A 16,971-nucleotide genomic window follows, 5' to 3' on the forward strand; every position below is an offset into this window, starting at 1 on the left:
CATGTACAGCAGAGCTTACGGTCCAGAGAACTCAGTCCTCAAAGAAACTGATACTATAGCTATCTAACTGGATACCACCGGTAATAAATTACCCAAAGCTAAGATTTCACGCTTTTTAAAGCCCATATTAATAATGCCTGTCTGGTCATAAGTCACACTACCAAAAGGCTTAAATAAATTAATCCACATACATTACGGAGAAGAGCAAAATGCTTATGACAATATTAAAATGAGTGTGAAAAAAATTTAATTAAAACTAAACACTAGCGATAACAAATACTAATATATTTCAGAATCATTAATGATCAACACAATTAGAGGAAGATTCATTTTGATCCTTCAATTTCACCTTAACCCAAGGCTGTTTTAAATCGTGCCCTTTTTATCTTCCTGCTTTGTTGTCACTGAGGATCTCAATATGCCAGTAATAATGCTACGACATAAAATACACTATAAAGTAGCATTTTCATGGACTTTTTCAAGACAACTTCCACTGAGTTCTCAAGTTATTTACCCAGGATTTAGTCATACAGGATACCCACAGATTTTAATAAAGTGGCATGGCTAACCATCATGGAATTCAGGAAATCCATTAGCCAAAAAACTTAGGTGTACATGGTTTGTGAAGAGAGCTTAAGTGACAGGGCAAGCAACTGGTCTAAATGTTAGTATGCTACGAAAAAGTTGTAAACCCTCCCATACCCAAACAATTTAAAAATTTACAGACATGCACATTTTAAGGCAGCTAACATTAGGTCACAAATCAAACCAACGCTGTCATCTTTGCCTAAAGGCTGTTTATCACTAAAATATTCTACAGAATGGACGTAACCAAAGGTCACTTAAATAAAGATAGAACTAATTTTATTATTATACTGCCATACTACAACTACTACTGATTGAATTAAAATACCTATCCTCAGCACGCTTTTACTATAAAGTAGGAGTGCGTTCCCGTGTTAGAAAACTTTTAAAGTACTGATCTTACTGGGTGGGGTAAGTCAGGGTCCAACTGCACTTGTACTTTTATCCTACATATTTTCCTTCTACGTAAGACAGATGGGAATGTGATTAGCCCACCCCGACAGCACACCGGCCTAACACCCCCAAGCTCTAGCTAGGAGCCACGTTTTACCCGGGAAGACCGTTTCCCCACCCCTCCTTAATACAATGCCTGCGGCCACTGGAGACTCCTCCAGCCGAGCTCCAGAAACTCGCAGGTTTAAATGGCCAATCTGGAACCAACCGGGGCAGCTGTCATCTGAAACTCAGGAAAGCTGAGACCAGCCAACTCCACAGAACAAGGAAGGGTGCGGAAAGATGTGGCGGGGCCCGTCGGAGGGAACGCATCAAGCTCCCTCCCCCCGCCATCAATTCGCTTTTCTGCAACCCCGGCGCCGCCATCCTGATCCTCAATAATTAAACGGCCTGGAGAGGGAGTGAGGTGGCCAGAAGGGCAGCTTCGGGTCCGACTTCCCCGAGCCGAGCGGGGCGGTCGGCGAGGCCAAGGGCTACGTCCCCGGCGCTCAGAGGACTTTTCTTCAGGGCTGGGGCGGGAAGGGGCGACCCCCGCGGCTGGCAGGACAGCCGGAAGCGGAGCGCGGGGAATGACGTGGAAGAGGGGATGACAAAGGGGCGCGGGGGCCCGGCGCGGCCCGCGGGGGTCGGGACAGGTGGCCGGGCCTGGCCGGGAACAATGGGGGGCCGAGGCTGCCCCCTGGCGCTCACCTACCTCCGGTGCCCTCCGAGTTCTCGTTGAGGCTGCCCGAGGAGTCGTGCTGGGCGCCCACACACCCGCCCATGGGGGCCCCCGGCGCCTCGTCCGCCACCTCCGGACGCTCGTCCGGGCCCGCCGCCGCCGCCGCTGCAGCCTCCTCCGGCGCCACCGCCGAGCTCCGGACAGGCGCGCCGCTCCGCTCGCCCGCCGCGGCCCAGCCTCCGCCCCCCTCGCCGCTCCACCCACCGCCTTGGCTCGGCCCCTTCCTCCGCGCCCACTTCTACCTCAACCCCCGGGCCGCCCGCCCGGCAGGCCTGGCCCGCGCGCCGCCCTCGCCTTCGGCTCAGCCCCGCCAGGCCAGGGCTGGCCCATCCCGGGCGGGCCGCAGCGCCCGCCTCGCCCCCTCACAGCCCCGCACACCCGAGTCCAGGCGAGCCCCGCGCCGGCGCCTCGCGTCCGCCAGGACCCATCGGCCCCCGGCCCGCGGCGCCGCCCTCCGCACCCACGGCCTGGGCTCGGCCCGGCCCGCCCGGAATCGCCGGAGAAGGGCGGGGCCACCGGAGGCCGCGCTCTGATTGGCTGCGGGCGGGGCTGCGAGCGGAGCGGGGCGAGGGTGAGGCGGGGGAGGGGACGCAGGGGGCTAGGTGGGGGGAGGACTGCAGGCGGGGGGAGGACTGGAGGCGAGGGGAGGAGGAGAGAGGGAGGACGGGAAGAAGAAAGGAGAGGGAAGAAGGGAGGGAAAGCAGGAAAAAGCCGAACAAAAGTGAGAAAAGAGGAGTGGGAAGGGGCGAAATCGAGTTCCTGGCTCCTCGGCCGTCGGCTCCTTCTTGCTGGTGGAAGCGGGTCGCACGGGGGAACCGAGAAGTAGTCGTGGAAGACTCGCAGGCGGGGACGGGGCGGTTTCCCAAATAACGGGGGCTCGGGGGAGAGTGTCCTGGCCGAACGTTGAGGTCCCAGCGCCCTTTGAATTTGTATGGCGCTCCGTGGGTTGGTACCCCGAATCTGGGCTTCCTCTTGCCTGCCCACCCCCGTCTTCCCTAAAATCATGGGGCCCCATTATTAGGGGTGGAGGCAGTGGTTGTGGCAAACCAAACTGAGATTAGAGGCGAGGCGTCCTGATGGAACGCCTGGAAAGAAGAGATAAACGCTGACCTTAGTTCAGGGGGCGTGGGTTTCTTTCATTTTCACGGGATTAATGATTCAAACAATACTACTTATCAAGATCCTGCCTTTGGGTATCTTAAATCGTCCTTAGGCCAAAGTGAAGTGTAAATGAGTGAAACACCCTGCCTTTTCGAATCTAGAATTTGGGACATTGACCACGCCCAACATTCTTGGCGGTTACTTTTCCAATCTCAGCCAAATTGTTAATGGTCCCTTTAGAATTGTGCTTCGTGCTATGATGCCTTAAAATTGTTATCATCCTGCTTGGGACTTTCTAAAGCTTATTTCTGCCTAAGAAGCTGTTTTAACTATCTGCTCCATTTTTATATCAGACTTTCTTTTTTTAACATCCTGGGTCAGCTTTTGCTTAGCACGAAAAAAAATTTTTTAAGTTGAAATACCTAAGAAAGAGATGCTCTGCAGCTTGGGATTTGCATTTAAATATATTCTCATACATTGCTGGTGGGAGTGTAAATTGGTTCAATCTTTTTTGCAAAGCAATTTGGCAATGCAGATCAAGAGCCTTAAAAATGTTCATATCCTTTGACTCGGGATTATTCCACATCTGGAAATCTAGCTCACAGAAATAGATCAAGCTATTATACAAAGATTTAGATCTCTGTATTCATTTGATAAAAAGACAGTAGACAAGCAAAACCTACACTTAGGTTAAAACACAGAAATGTCGTGAGATATAGAAATCTGCTATATTAAACTCATCCTGAAGAATTAGTATTGTCCTCAGTTGTGGTCCTGAACATTCCAAAAAGAGCTTATGCCATCGATGTTATTATGAGTTTTCAGAGGTTGCTCTGACATCAGGGGCTGTGTCACAAAGCCTTCTGTCTGATCATTTTCAACTAACTATACACGTTGGCAGACACATCACTTCATCACTTCCCTGAAGAAGAGAAGCTGCATGCCGAATATTTGCAAAGAGATTGCTTTGTCCTGAATTTCACTCTAGAAATTGCAGAAACCAAGACTTCCACGATGTCTATTAAACAGATGGTAGGCACCCAAATGATGAGGGCTCTCCGATGAGCACTGAGGAGTTGGCACTAGGAAGAGAGAGCAATCTCGGGGAGAGATTCTCAGCAATAGATGTTCTCCACCCTGCCTTTATCTTAGAGACACATTTCCCAGGAGGCAGAGTAGTGTCGCAGTCAGGGCCCCAGCTTGGCGATTAACTTCCTGGATTGGAATCTGGCTTTCATCGTGTACTAGCTATATGGTCTGAAGTTTCTGCCAGACATGGTGGCTCACGCCTGTGATCCCAGCACCTTGGGAGGCTGAGGTGGGAAGCTCACTTGAGCCCAGCTGTTTCAGACCAGCCTGAGCAACATAGGGAGACCCTGTCTCTACGAAAAAATTTTAAAAATTAGCGGGGCGTGGTGGTGAGCGCCTGTAGTCCCAGCTACTCAGGGGGCTGAGGTGGGAGAATTACCTGAATCCAGAGAGGTGGAGGCTACAGTAAGCTGTGATCGCGCCACTGCACTCCAGTGTGGGTGACAGAGCGAGACCCTGTCTCAAAAAAAGAAAAAAGAAAGTTTGGCCGGGCACGGTGGTTCATGCCTGTAATCCTAGCACTCTGGGAGGCCGAGGCGGGCGGATCACGAGGTCAGGAGTTGGAGGCCAGCCTGGCCAATATGGTGAAATCCCATCTCTATTAAAAATACAAAAATTAGGCTGGGCGTGGTGCCTCATGCCTGTAATCCCAGCATTTTGGGAGGCTGAGGCAGGCGGATCACAAGGTCAGGAGATCGAGACCATCCTGGCTAACATGGTGAAACCCCGTCTCTACTAAAAATACAAAAAATTAGCCGGGCGTGGTGGCAGGCGCCTGTAGTCCCAGCTACTCAGGAGGCTGAGGCAGGAGAATGGCGTGAACCCGGAAGGCGGAGCTTGTAGTGAGCAGAGATCGCGCCACTGCACTCCAGCCTGGGCAACAGAGCGAGACTCCATCTCAAAAAAAAAAAAAAAAAAAAAAAAATTAGCCAGGCGTGGTGGCTCGCACCTGTAGTCCCAGCTACTTGGGAGTTTGAGGCAGAAGAATAGCTTGAACCCGGAGGGCGGAGGTTGTAGTGAGCTGAGATCTTGCCACTGCACTCCAACCTGGGCGATAGAGTGAGACTCCATCTAAAAAAAAAAAAAAAAAAAAGTTTATGTGGAGTTCAGTTTCCTCACCTGTAAAATTGGGCCAAAAATAATGCTCCAAACTCTGTGGGGCTTTTCATCAACTCTTTATTTCATGTCTAGCATCATCTATCTAAATTTACTGCAGGCAGGCACAGTGGCTTCGGCCTATAATCCCAACACTTTGGGAGGCTGAGGCGGGCAGACCGCCTGTGGTCAGGAGTTTGAGACCAGGTTGACCAACGTGGTGAAACCCCGTTTCTACTAAAAATTCAAAAATTAGCTGGGCATGGTGGCGTGTGCCTGTAATCCCAGCTACTCGGAAGGCTGAGGCAGGAGAATCACTTGAACCTGGGAGGCAGAGGTTGCAGTGAGCCGAGATAGCACCACTGCACTTTAGCCTGGGCCACAGAGCAAGACTGACTCCAAAAAAAAAAAACTGACTGCATAGCACTTTCTATCAAAACAATTCCTTCTTTGTGTGTGTGTGTGTGTGTGTGCACATGTGCTTTTCTACTGTTTTATAGTATCTTTATTAAGATATTCATATACCATGTATTTCACCAGTTTATTTTTAATTGACAAATAACTGTATTATGAGGTCACAGTGTGATGTTTAGATACATGTTTACAATGTGGAATGACTAGGCTAATTAACAAATCCATCACCTCACGTATTTGTCTTTTTTTTTTTTGAGACGTAGTCTTGTTGTTGCACAGGCTGGAGTGCAGTGGCACAATCTGAGCTCACTGCCACCTCTGCCTCCTGGGTTCAAGCGATTCTCCTGCCTCAGCCTCCCAAGTTACTGGGATTACAGGCGCCTGCCACCACGCCCAGCTAATTTTTGTAATTTTAGTAGAAATGGGGTTTCGCCATGTTGGCCAGGCTAGTCTCAAATTGCTGACCTCGTGATCTGCCCACCTTCGCCTCCCAAAGTGCTGGGATTACAGGCGTGAGCCACCGTGCCCCGAGCCACTGCGCCCCGTCCACGTGCTTCTCTTTTTTGTGGTGAAAACATTTAAGATCTACTCTGTTAACGATTCGGAAGTATACAGTGCATTATTATAGTCACCATTCTGTGCAGTAGGTCACTAATGCCTATTCCACCTAACTGAAACTTTCTACTCTGGAATCAATATCTCCCTTTTCCCCATCCACCCCCACCCCTTCACCAATTTACATTGTACAAGTCAATGGTTTTTAGTATATTTACTAAATATCAATAGTCAATGAATTTTAAAACATTTTTATCACCCTAAAAAGAAACCCTGTACCTATTAGCAGTCACTCCCCATTTCATTCTATCCCCTACCTCACCCCAGCCCTAGGCGACCACAAACCTTTCTCTTTTTTTTTTTTTTGAGACGGAGTCTCCCTCTGTCACCCAGGCTAGAGTGCACTGGCACAATCTCAGCTCTCTGCAACCTCGCAGTTGAAGTGATTCTCCCACCTCGGCCTCCCGAGCAGCTGGGACTACAGGTGTGCACCACCATGCCCAGCTAATTTTTTGTATTTTTAGTAGAGATGGGGTTTCACCATGTTACTCAACCTTCCAGGCTCAAGCAATCCTCCCACCTCCCCCCGCCTCCCCCCCGCCAACCCGCCACCCGCCGCCAACACACACAATACCCAGTAGCTGAGACTAACTTCATTCCTCTTTATGGACAATATTCCATTGTATGGATGTACCACATTTTGTTTATCCTTTCATCAGTTGGTGGTTATTTGGATTGTTTCCATTTTTTGGGTATTGGAATAAAGCTGCTATGAACATTCCTGTACAAGCTTTTGTGTAGCCATATGTTTTTAATTGTCTTGGATTTATACCTAGGAATGGAATTGCTTGGTCATATGGTAACCCTGTTTAACTTTCTGAAAAATTGGCAAATTGTTTCCAAAGTGGTTTTGACTTGATTTTCCTAATGGCTAATAATGTTGAGCATCTTTTTATGTACTTATAGGCCACTTGTATATCTATTTTGGAAAAATGTCTACTCAAGATACTTGCTCATTTTTTTTTTTTTTTGAGATGAAGTCTCGCTCTGTAGCCCAGGCTGGAGTGCAGTGGCATGATCTTGGCTCATTGAAACCTCTGCCTCCCAGGTTTAAGTGATCCTCCCGCCTCAGCCTCCTGAGTGGCTGGGATTACGGATGCCTACCACCATGACTGGCTAATTTTTGTATTTTTAGTAGACACGGAGTTTTGCCATGTTGGCCAGGCTGGTCTCGAACTCCTGACCTCAAGTGATCTGGCCGCCTTGGCCTCCCAAAGTGCTGGGATTACAGGTGTGAACCACTACACCCAGCCTATTGCAGGTTTTTTACTTTTGTGTGTGTGTGTGTGTGTGTGTGAGACGGAGTCTTGCTCTGTCACCTAGGGTGGAGTGCAGTGACGTGATTTTGGCTCACTGCAACCTCTGTCTCCTGAATTCAAGTGATTCTCCTACCTCAGCCTCCCAAGTAGCTGGGATACCAGGCACCTGCCACCACGCCTGGCTAATTTTTTCTCTTTTTTTTTTTTAGATGAAGTATCACTCTGTTGCCCAACCTAGAGTGCAGTGGTGCAATCATAGCTCACTGCAGCCTTGAACTCCTGGCTCAAGCAATCCTCCCACTTCAGTCTACCAAGTAGCTGGGTCTACAGGTGCACACCACCATGCCCAGCTAACTTAAAAAATTTCTTTTTGGGCTGGGCACGGTGGCTCACACCTGTAATCCCAGCAATTTGGGAGGCCGAGGTGGGTGGGATCACCTGAGGTCAGGAGTTCAAGACCAGCCTGGCCAACATGGTGAAACTCTGTCTCTACTAAAAATACAAAATTAGCTGGACGTGGTGGCACATGCCTGTAATCCCAGCTACTTGGGAGGCTGAGGCAGGAGAATCGCTTGAATCCGGAAGGCAGAGGTTGTGGTGAGCCAACATCTCGCCATTGTACTCCAGCCTGGGCAACAAGAGCGAAACTCCATCTCAAAAAAAAAAATTCTTTTTGTAGAGATAGGGTCTTGTTATGTTGCCTAGGCTGATCTCGAACGACTGAGATCAAGTGATCCTCCTGCCTCAGCCTCCCAAAGTGCCGGGGTTACAGGTGTGAGCCACCACACCTGGCTTAACTTTCTTTTCTTTTTTTTTGTTTTAATTTTGGAGACGGGATCTTGCTCTGTTGCCCAGGCTGGAGTGCAATGGCACAATCTTGGCTCACGGCAGCCTTAACCTTCCAGGCTCAAATGATCTTCTCACCTCAGCCTTTCTAGTAGCTGGGACTACAGCTGCATGCCACCATGCCTGGCTAATTTTCTTTATATTTTGTAGAGACAGGGTCTCACTATGCTGCCCAGGCTGGTCTTAAACTCTGGCCTCAAGTGATCCTCCCGCCTCAGCCTCCCAAAGTGTTGGAATTACAAGCGTGAACCAATGCTCCTTGCTTAACCCTCTTGATAGTGTCTTTTGAAGCACAAAAGGTAGTTTCCTTTTTTTGTTTGTTTTTTTTTTTTTTGGAGATGGGGGTCTCACTATGTTACCCAGGCTAGACTCTGACTCCTGGGCCCAATCCATACTTCCACCTCAGCCTCCTGAAGAATTGGGACCACAGTCATGGACCACTGCACCAGCTGATTTTAATGAAGTCCATTTAACCTATTTTTTTCTTTGATTGCTTGTGCTTTGGGGCTCATATCTAAGAAACCATTGTTGGCTGGGTGCAGTGGCCCGTGCCTATAACTCCAGCACTTTGGGAGGCAAAATGCCTTGAACCCCAGAGTTCAAGACCAGCCTGGACAACATAATGAGACCCTGTATCTACAAAAAAAATTTAAAGAATTAGCTAGGCATGGTGCTGTGTGCCTGTGGTCCCAGCTACTTGGGAGGCTGAGATGGGAGGATCACTTGAGAATGGAAGGTCGAAGCTTCAGTGAGCCATGATCATGCCATTGCACTCCAGCCTGGGTGACAAAGCAATATACCATGTCCGAAAAAGAAAAAGAAAGAAAAACAAAAAGAAACCATTGTCTAAGGCCATGGAGATTTACACTCTAAGAGTTTTATACTTTTAGCACTTACATTTAGGTCTTTGATCTGTTTTGAATTAATATTTTTATTGTGGTAAAATACATATAACATGAAATAACTTATTTTTATTTTTTATAAATGTATTTGAACTAAAGATGGGATTTTGCTATGTTGCTTAAGCTGGTCTTTAACTTCTGGCCTCAAGCAATCCTCCCACCTTGGCCTCCTACAGTTCTGGGATTAGAGGTGTGAGCTACTGCACCCAGCCTGACTTAATATTTATAAATGATGTAAAGTAGGGATCCAACTTCATTCTTTTGCATGTGGATTTCCAGTGTCCCAGCATCATTTGTTGAAAAGATTATTCTATCCACCCCCGCCCACCTTTTTTTTTTTTTTGAGATAGAGTTGTGCTCTTGTTGCCTGGGCTGGAGTGCAATGGCACGATCTCGGCTCACTGCAACTTTCGCCTCCCAGGTTTGAGTAATTCTCCTGCCACAGCCCCCCAAGTAGCTGGGATTACAGGAATGCACCACCATGCCCAGCTAATTTTGTATTTTTAGTAGAGACAGGGTTTCACTATGTTGGCCAGGCTGGTCTCGAACTCCTGACCTCGAGTGATCCACCCACTTTGGCCTCCCAAAGTGCTGGGATTACAGGCGTGAGCCACCACCTCCGGCCATTCTTTCCCCATTGAATTGTCTTGATGCCCTTGTCAAAAATCAATTGACCATAAATGTTAGAGTTTATTTCTGACTGTCAGTTTTATTTCATTGATCTTTTATGTCATGATTATGCGAGTACTACACTGTCTTAATTACTGTAGTTTTACAGTAAGTTTTGAAGCTGGGAAATTCAAGGTTGTATTGTCCTCTTTATGTACTGTTGCATTCTATTTGCTAACTTTTTTTTTTCAGAATCATAAACAGCTCTTTTATTTCTATATTAAAATGATTTTTGTGGCATATTTAGCAATTTAAAAAAATTGTTATTTTAGGTTTGGGGGTACATGTGAAGGTTTGTTACATAGGTAAACACGTGTCATAGGGGTTTGTTGTACATATTATTACATCACCCAGGTATTAAGCCCAGTACCCACTAGTTAGCTTTTCTGCTCCTCCCCCTCCTCCCACTCTCCCTCCTCCAGTAGACCTGTGTCTGTTGTTTCCTCCTTTTTTTTCTTTCTTTCTTTTTTTTGAGACAACGTCTTGCTCTGTCACCCCTGGAGTGCAGTGGCATGATCTCAGCTCACTGCAAACTCCGCCTCCCAGGTGCAAGTGATTCTCCTGCCTCAGCCTCCTGAGTAGCTGGGATTATAAGTGCTCACCATCACGCCCGGCTAATTTTTGTATTTTTAGTAGAGATGGGGTTTCACCATGTTGGCCAGGCTGGTCTCAAACTCCTGACCTCAGGTGATCCGCCCGCCTCAGCCTCCCAAAGTGTTGGGATTACAGGCTGAGCCACCGTGCCTGGCCTGTTTCCTTCTTTTGTTTCCTTCTTTGTGTTCATAAGCTCTTACCATTTAGCCCTTATAACATTTTGTTCTAAATTATTGCATCTCTGGTTATGAATATTTGCCTATAATTTTTTTTTGAGACGTAGTTTCGCTCTTGTTGCTTGAACCGCCTCCCAGGTTCAAGCACTTCTCCTGCCTCAGCCTCCCAAGTAGCTGGGATTATAGGCATGAGCTACCATGCCTGACTTTTTTTTTTTTTTTTTGAGACAGAGTCTCGCTCTGTCACCCAGGCTGGAGTGCAGTGGCATGATCTCGGCTCACTGCTCGGCTCACTGCAACCTCTGCCTCCCGGGTTCGGGCAATTCTCCTGCCTCAGCCTCCCGAGTAGCTGGGATTACAGGCATGTGCCACCAAGCCTGGCTAATTTTTGCATTTTTAGTAGAGACAGGGTTTCACCATGTTAGCCAGGATGGTCTCGATCTCCTGACCTCATGATCCACCCACCTTGGCCTCCCAAAGTGCTGGGATTACAGGTGTGAGCCACCGCACCTGGCCCTAAGTTTGTATTTTTAGTAGAGACAGGGTTTCTTCATGTTGGTCAGGCTGGTCTCGAACTCCTGACCTCAGGTGATCCACCACCTCGGCCTCCGAAAGTGCTGGGATTACAGGCGTGAGCCATTGCACCCAGTGTCTATAGTTCTTTTTTTCCTTAAAGGTCTTTGTCCACTTTTTGTATCAGGTATTATTTTGATTTTATGGAAGAGAAAAGGAAACTCTAAAGAACGGAGGAATGCAGATAAGCAGCAGCAGCAACCCTAGGGCTGAGACAGTGCACTTAAGGAAGAGGCCCTTCTAGGGCTGAGAGCCAGTGCCCCATTGCTGGAGGGGATATGGCCTTGGCTTGGTGAATGGCAGAGAAGTTCCTCTTGTGCCACACCAGTGGAAGTTGCTGGAAATCCCTTCTCTAGGACTTGCTGATAATATGCCCTGTAATGCTGAAAGGCTGTTTATAGGAGGTACCCCACTTAGAGCCATTCTGCTGTGAAACTACCGGGTACTACGAAGTACCTGGAGAAATTGCTCATTGCTAGGTGGTGTAGGCTTCTGCATATTGCAGGATCTGGGCCTTGGAGAAGCTGCCCACCACCTCAGGAGCCTGGTGCTGGAGCAACATATATACTGAAGGAGCTATGCTAGAGAAGCTTGTTTGTGCCGCAAAAGCTGGCCACTTAGAAAGGCTGCACACAGCGCAGGAACCTGGCACTGGAGAAGCCACCCAGGCTGTGGAAACCTACTGAGTGAGTGAGCCTCCTGCAGTGTCTCTCCAGTGCCCTCTACTGTCAAAGCTAAACATTGTGCCAGCTGGCAAAGAAACAATATTTAAAGGGCCCATATTCATTTTCACAGAGCAGGCAATGAAGATTGAGTTTGCATCTGAGATTCAACAATTTGATAACTGGCATAATGTTCTACCTGAAAACTTTAAAACCTGTGCTTCACAACTCTTGGATCTAGGGAATTACAGAAATTAAAGAATTGCTACAAATCCAAATCTATGGGATATATGTAAAGCACATATCCCCAGAAAAACTCATATATCAAAAGAAAATTCATAGCCCTGTTAAAATTTTTAGACAAATTACATTAAAGCAGAATTTATTTAAGCAAAGAATAATTCATGAATCAGGCAATCCTCAAAACCAGAACAGGTTGAAAGATTTGTAGCCTGCAATGTGGGCAGGCAGCACTTATGAATACTTCAGGTGATTACAGCTCAGCATTTGCTTTATTTGAACATGGTCTAATCAGTTGCCCAACTGTGATTGACTGAGGCTTGGCTAGTGTGACCGGCTGAGACTCAGCTACTGTTACAAAAGTATACTCCTAAGTTAGGCTTGTAGTTCGCTGATGTACTAAGGTTACAATTTGTTCCATAAGGACTCAAGTACAGAGGCATCCTCAAGCCAAATTTAGTTTAACAATTCCTCCATTTTGGTCAGCCTCTCAATTTTTGAGAGATTGACCTAAACCTTGAGCATTGATGCCACTCTCTGTCACCATTGCAAATGGACCTATTTGGTTTTAGTATGAAATTCACAAGTCACAAAGTCACAGCAGTTGAATAATTCTTGATGTTCTTGATGATCTAATTGAAGTGAGACCACTGAACACTCAATGGATGGCTTCATACAGACATTTAAGATGACATTTAAGATGGGCATGGTGGCTCACACCTGTAATTCCAGCACTTTGAGAGGCTGAGGCGGGTGGATCACCTGAGGTCAGGAGTTTGAGACCAGCCTGACCAACGTGGTGAAACCCTGTCTCTACTAAAAATACAAAAATTAGCCAGGCATGGTGGCGCATGCCTGTAATCCCAGCTCCTCGGGAGGCTAAGGCAGGAGAATCCCTTGAACCCAGGAGGCGGAGGTTGCAGTGAGCTGAGATCGCGCCATTGCACTCCAGCCTGGGTAACAAGAGAAAAACTCTGTCTCAAAAAAAACACAAAAAACAAAAAACAAAAAAACAAGAGGATATAGTGTACTAGGGGGATTATTATGATGACTGTCAGGAGGAAAATACCAAAAGACTAAAGAGTACTCTTCAATAGGAGTCCCCATGAACCAAACAACCAAATCAAACAAGTCAAAGTTCATACAATATAGGCATCTGAGTTCATTTGGTCATAGTCTTTGTTGAGGCACAATGGCAATTGAGGACCATAGTTCACTGTAGAGTGGTCTGATTTAAAGAGGTATCCAGTTTTGTTGTTAGCCTGTTAACACAAGTCATAGTAACCTGAAGACCCACTAGAAGAACATAAAGATTGGAAAACCTTGGAAAAGCCAAGCTTGCCATCCACCATTTAGGATGTCTGCAAGCCAACTGTTGTTTGCTCCTATAAATACATCGTGTTTCCTTTTTCTTGAGACATTTCCTTAATGTATTTGGTGGCAATACCTAAAGAAACAGCAATATCAGCTGGGCAAGGTGGCTCACGCCTGTAATCCCAGCACTTTGGAAGGCCGAGGCAGGGGGATCACCTGAGGTCGGGAGTTCGAGATCAGCCTGGCCAACATGGTGAACCCCGTCTCTACTAAAAATACAAAAATTAGCCGGGCATGGTGGCACTTGCCTGTAATCCCCGGGAGGCTGAGGCAGGAGAATTGCTTGAACCTGGGAGGCGGAGGTCACAGTGAGTTGAGATAGAGCCACTGCACTCTAGCCTGGGCAACAGAGCAAGACTGTCTCAAAAAACAAAACAAAACAAAAAATCCAGCAACTTTATTTTTAGAGATGCGGTCCTGCTAGGTTGCCTATGCTAGACTTGAACTCCTGAGCTCAAAGCTATCCTTCTGCCTCAGCCTACTGAATAGTTGAGACTACAGGTGTGTGCCATCATGCCCACCTACCATCAACCACCTTTTAAATTAAGCTTTCTGTAGTAGCAAAATCAGGGGAAAGATAGGTACAAGATTCAGTTTTGTTTAGGACCATGCACAAGCCCTGAGCAAAAAGAAGAGCTAAAGCTGTTGATGTTCCTTAAGGGCTTGTTTTCTTGTTTTTTTTTTTTGTTTTTGTTGTTGTTGTTTTGACAGAATCTCGCTCTGTCACCCAGGCTGGAGTGCATTGGTGCAATCTTGGCTCACTGTAACCTCCGCCTCCTGGGTTCAAGCAATTCTTCTGCCTCAGCCTCCCGAGCAGCTGGGATTACAGGCACGCGCCACCACGCTTGGCTAATTTTTGTATTTTTAGTAGAGATGGGGTTTCACCGTATTGGCCAGGCTAGTCTTGAACTCCTGACCTCAAGTGATCCACCCACCTCGGCTTCCCAAAGTGCTAGGATTACAGGCATGAGCCATCGCACCCGGCCCCATTAAGTGCTTTTATTGAAAATGTATGTTGTCATCCACATTTCAGAGGGCGACTTCTACTTATCTGAACCCCTGGGAAGTCTGATTGGCCAAAAAGTCCAAGATTTTTCCCCAAGTTATGAATTAGCTTCAATTCGATACTAACAATACTCCACAATTATCAAGAGTGAGCCCCCAAGAACCCCATTGGAACTGTTCCTCAATGGAAACTAACTTGTCTTCATATACCCAACAATTGCTCTGTTTTTTTGCTGGAGCATGAACCTTAGCTAAAGCCATCCACAAATTATGGTCCCATGGATTTTCCTGGAGAGAAAAGGAAAGGATTAGGGCAGCAGGAAAGAGGGGGTCAGGGGAGGATAAGGCTTTCATGATGCAAAGAAGTCTTGACCCATGATCTTGGGAAAGAGTCCACATCTAGAATGCCTTCTGCTTCTGGAGGGAAAAGTTCCCTCACCAGCTTTACCTGAAAGTCTCCCACAGGTATACAGCTTCAGGAGTCTCGAATCCCACAGGTATACGGCTTCAGGAGTCTCGAATCCCACGGGCGTACGGCTTCAGGAGTCTCGAATCCCACGGGCGTACGGCTTCAGGAGTCTCGAATCCCACGGGCGTACGGCTTCAGGAGTCTCGAATCCCACGGGCGTACGGCTTCAGGAGTCTCGAATCCCACGGGCGTACGGCTTCAGGAGTCTCGAATCCCACGGGCGTACGGCTTCAGGAGTCTCGAATCCCACGGGCGTACGGCTTCAGGAGTCTCGAATCCCACGGGCGTACGGCTTCAGGAGTCTCGAATCCCACGGGCGTACGGCTTCAGGAGTCTCGAATCCCACGGGCGTACGGCTTCAGGAGTCTCGAATCCCACGGGCGTACGGCTTCAGGAGTCTCGAATCCCACGGGTGTACGGCTTCAGGAGTCTTGAGGGGCTCCTTTGAGTTGAGAGTTGTGGATCCAAGTCTCAGAGCACTGAAGTTTTGTGGCAGAGAAGAACTTGTTATGGTCCCTTCCAATAGAGTTCAAGGACAGTCTTTCTCTGGTGTCATTTCCAAAGGACTCAATCGCTGAGTTTTGGACTCTGAGAAATCTAGTTGTCATCTGCTGGTGGGTCATGAAGGCCCCCCCTTTTTTTCTTTTTCTTTTTCTTTTTCTTTTTTTTTTTGAGACAGAGTCTCACTTGATCACCCAGGCTAGAGTGCAGTGGCGTGATCTTGACTCACTGCAACTTCTGCCACCCAGGTTCAAGCAATTCTCCTGCCTCAGCCTCCCAAGTAGCTGGGATTACAGGCGCCTGCCACCACACCTGGCTAATTTTTGTATTTTTAGTAGAGACGGGATTTCATCATCTTGGCCAGGCTGGTCTTGAACTCCTGACCTCGTGATCCGCCTGCCTCAGCCTCCCAAAGTGCTGGGATTATAGGTGTGAGCCACCGCGCCCGGCCTGCCTTTTTTTTTTTTTTTGTTAACCTAGTGAAAGTATGCTTTGGCATAATGCATTAAAGCCTTGCACTACTGAATCATAGCAGAGTTTATAAGAGTAGAAGATACATGAGGTTCTATTCTTAGGGGCATAGGCCTTCCAGTGACTGTTTCTTTTCTTTCTTTCTTTTTTTTTTGAGATGGAGTCTCGCTCTGTCGCCAGGACTGGAGTGCAGTGACACGATCCCGGCTCACTGCAACCTCCACCTCCCAGGTTCAAGCAATTCTCCTTCCTCAGCCTCCCGAGTAGCTGGGACTACAGGCGCGTGCCATGACACCCAGCTAATTTTTTATTTTTAATAGAGATGGGGTTGAAACCCCCATGTTGGCCAGGCTGGTCTCAAACTCCTGACCTCAGGTGTTCTGCCCTCCTCGGCCTCCCAAAGTGCTGGGATTACAGGCATGAGCCACCATGCCCGGCCCAGTGACTGTTTCATAAGGGGTCAAGTTACATTTTCCACTGAGAGGGGAATCTGATTGCCATCAAGGCCAATGGTAATACTGTTAGCCAAGGCAATCCAGTCAATTCACTTAACTTTGCCAGTTTCAGTTCCAAGATGCCATTTGTCCTTTCAACCTTTCCAGAAGACTAAAGGTGATAGCAACAATGGTAATGCCATTGTGTTTGTAACACTTTATTTTATTGCTTTATAACTTTCCGAGTAAAATTGGTATCTCTGTCAGTGGAGCTTTCTTTTCTCCAAGAATGCCCCATAAAGGAAACACATTTTTGAATAAACTTTTAGCTACTGTAATAGTATTGGCCTTCCTCCATGGAAAGCTTCTATTCAGCCAAAGAACATAGACTATTACAAGAACATACTTATATCCCATTGAAGGTGGCAATTGAATAAAATCCCTCTGAAAATGTTCAAATGGCCCATCAAGTAGCAGAAATGAAGCAAAACCTGAAGTTTTGTCTTTACAGAATTGTGGGTTTAACAAACCAAACATTGGTTACCACATCAATATTTTTTCTGTAATTTATATCATTTTTTTCTACTCCATGGTGAGCTATGGCAGGCATAACTTTTAATGATGGAAACTTTTGGCCGGGCGCAGTGGCTCACACCTATAATCGCTCCTTTGGGAGGCCTAGGCAGGCGGATCACCTGAGGTCAGGAGTTCGAGACCAGCCTG

At 47.3% G+C, this 16,971-nt stretch overlaps 1 protein-coding gene and 1 long non-coding RNA gene across 5 annotated transcripts in view, besides 4 other annotated features; one reads left to right on the plus strand and one right to left on the minus strand.

The window, feature by feature from the left end:
• Positions 1-2,254, minus strand: part of UBTD2 (ubiquitin domain containing 2) — a 74,472-nt gene extending 72,218 nt beyond the window's left edge. For 2 of the 4 annotated variants that reach the window (NM_152277.3, XM_047417876.1), the window contains exon 1: positions 1,733-1,901. In NM_152277.3, the coding sequence (NP_689490.2) occupies positions 1,733-1,802 (70 nt within the window). In that variant the 5' untranslated portion in view covers positions 1,803-1,901. Of the gene's footprint in view, positions 1-1,728; positions 1,902-2,137 lie in introns of those variants that run through there. The other 2 variants (XM_047417875.1, XM_017010022.2) reach the window with 2 other exon arrangements.
• Positions 1,494-2,403: a silencer, noted in NCBI's record as "silent region_16620". NCBI's record gives its function as "represses an Ori minimal core promoter by ATAC-STARR-seq in GM12878 lymphoblastoid cells {active_cell/tissue: GM12878}" and the evidence as "EXISTENCE:reporter gene assay evidence [ECO:0000049][PMID:35858748]".
• Positions 1,494-2,578: a biological region, named in NCBI's record as "H3K27ac hESC enhancer GRCh37_chr5:171710845-171711445".
• Positions 1,978-2,578: an enhancer, noted in NCBI's record as "H3K27ac hESC enhancer chr5:171710845-171711445 (GRCh37/hg19 assembly coordinates)". NCBI's record gives its function as "activates a minimal SCP1, AML or CMV promoter by ChIP-STARR-seq in primed H9 embryonic stem cells {active_cell/tissue: H9 hESC(primed)}" and the evidence as "EXISTENCE:reporter gene assay evidence [ECO:0000049][PMID:30033119]".
• Positions 2,579-3,178: an enhancer, noted in NCBI's record as "H3K27ac hESC enhancer chr5:171711446-171712045 (GRCh37/hg19 assembly coordinates)". NCBI's record gives its function as "activates a minimal SCP1, AML or CMV promoter by ChIP-STARR-seq in primed H9 embryonic stem cells {active_cell/tissue: H9 hESC(primed)}" and the evidence as "EXISTENCE:reporter gene assay evidence [ECO:0000049][PMID:30033119]".
• LOC100288254 (uncharacterized) lies at positions 3,734-16,513 on the plus strand. The gene is made up of 2 exons (NR_130933.1): positions 3,734-3,892; positions 14,871-16,513. It is a non-coding gene; the product is annotated as an uncharacterized LOC100288254 (long non-coding RNA).
• The last annotated feature ends 458 nt before the right edge of the window (positions 16,514-16,971 follow it).

The sequence above is a fragment of the Homo sapiens genome, chromosome 5 (genome assembly GCF_000001405.40).
Source record: "Homo sapiens chromosome 5, GRCh38.p14 Primary Assembly".
NCBI lineage: Eukaryota > Metazoa > Chordata > Mammalia > Primates > Hominidae > Homo > Homo sapiens.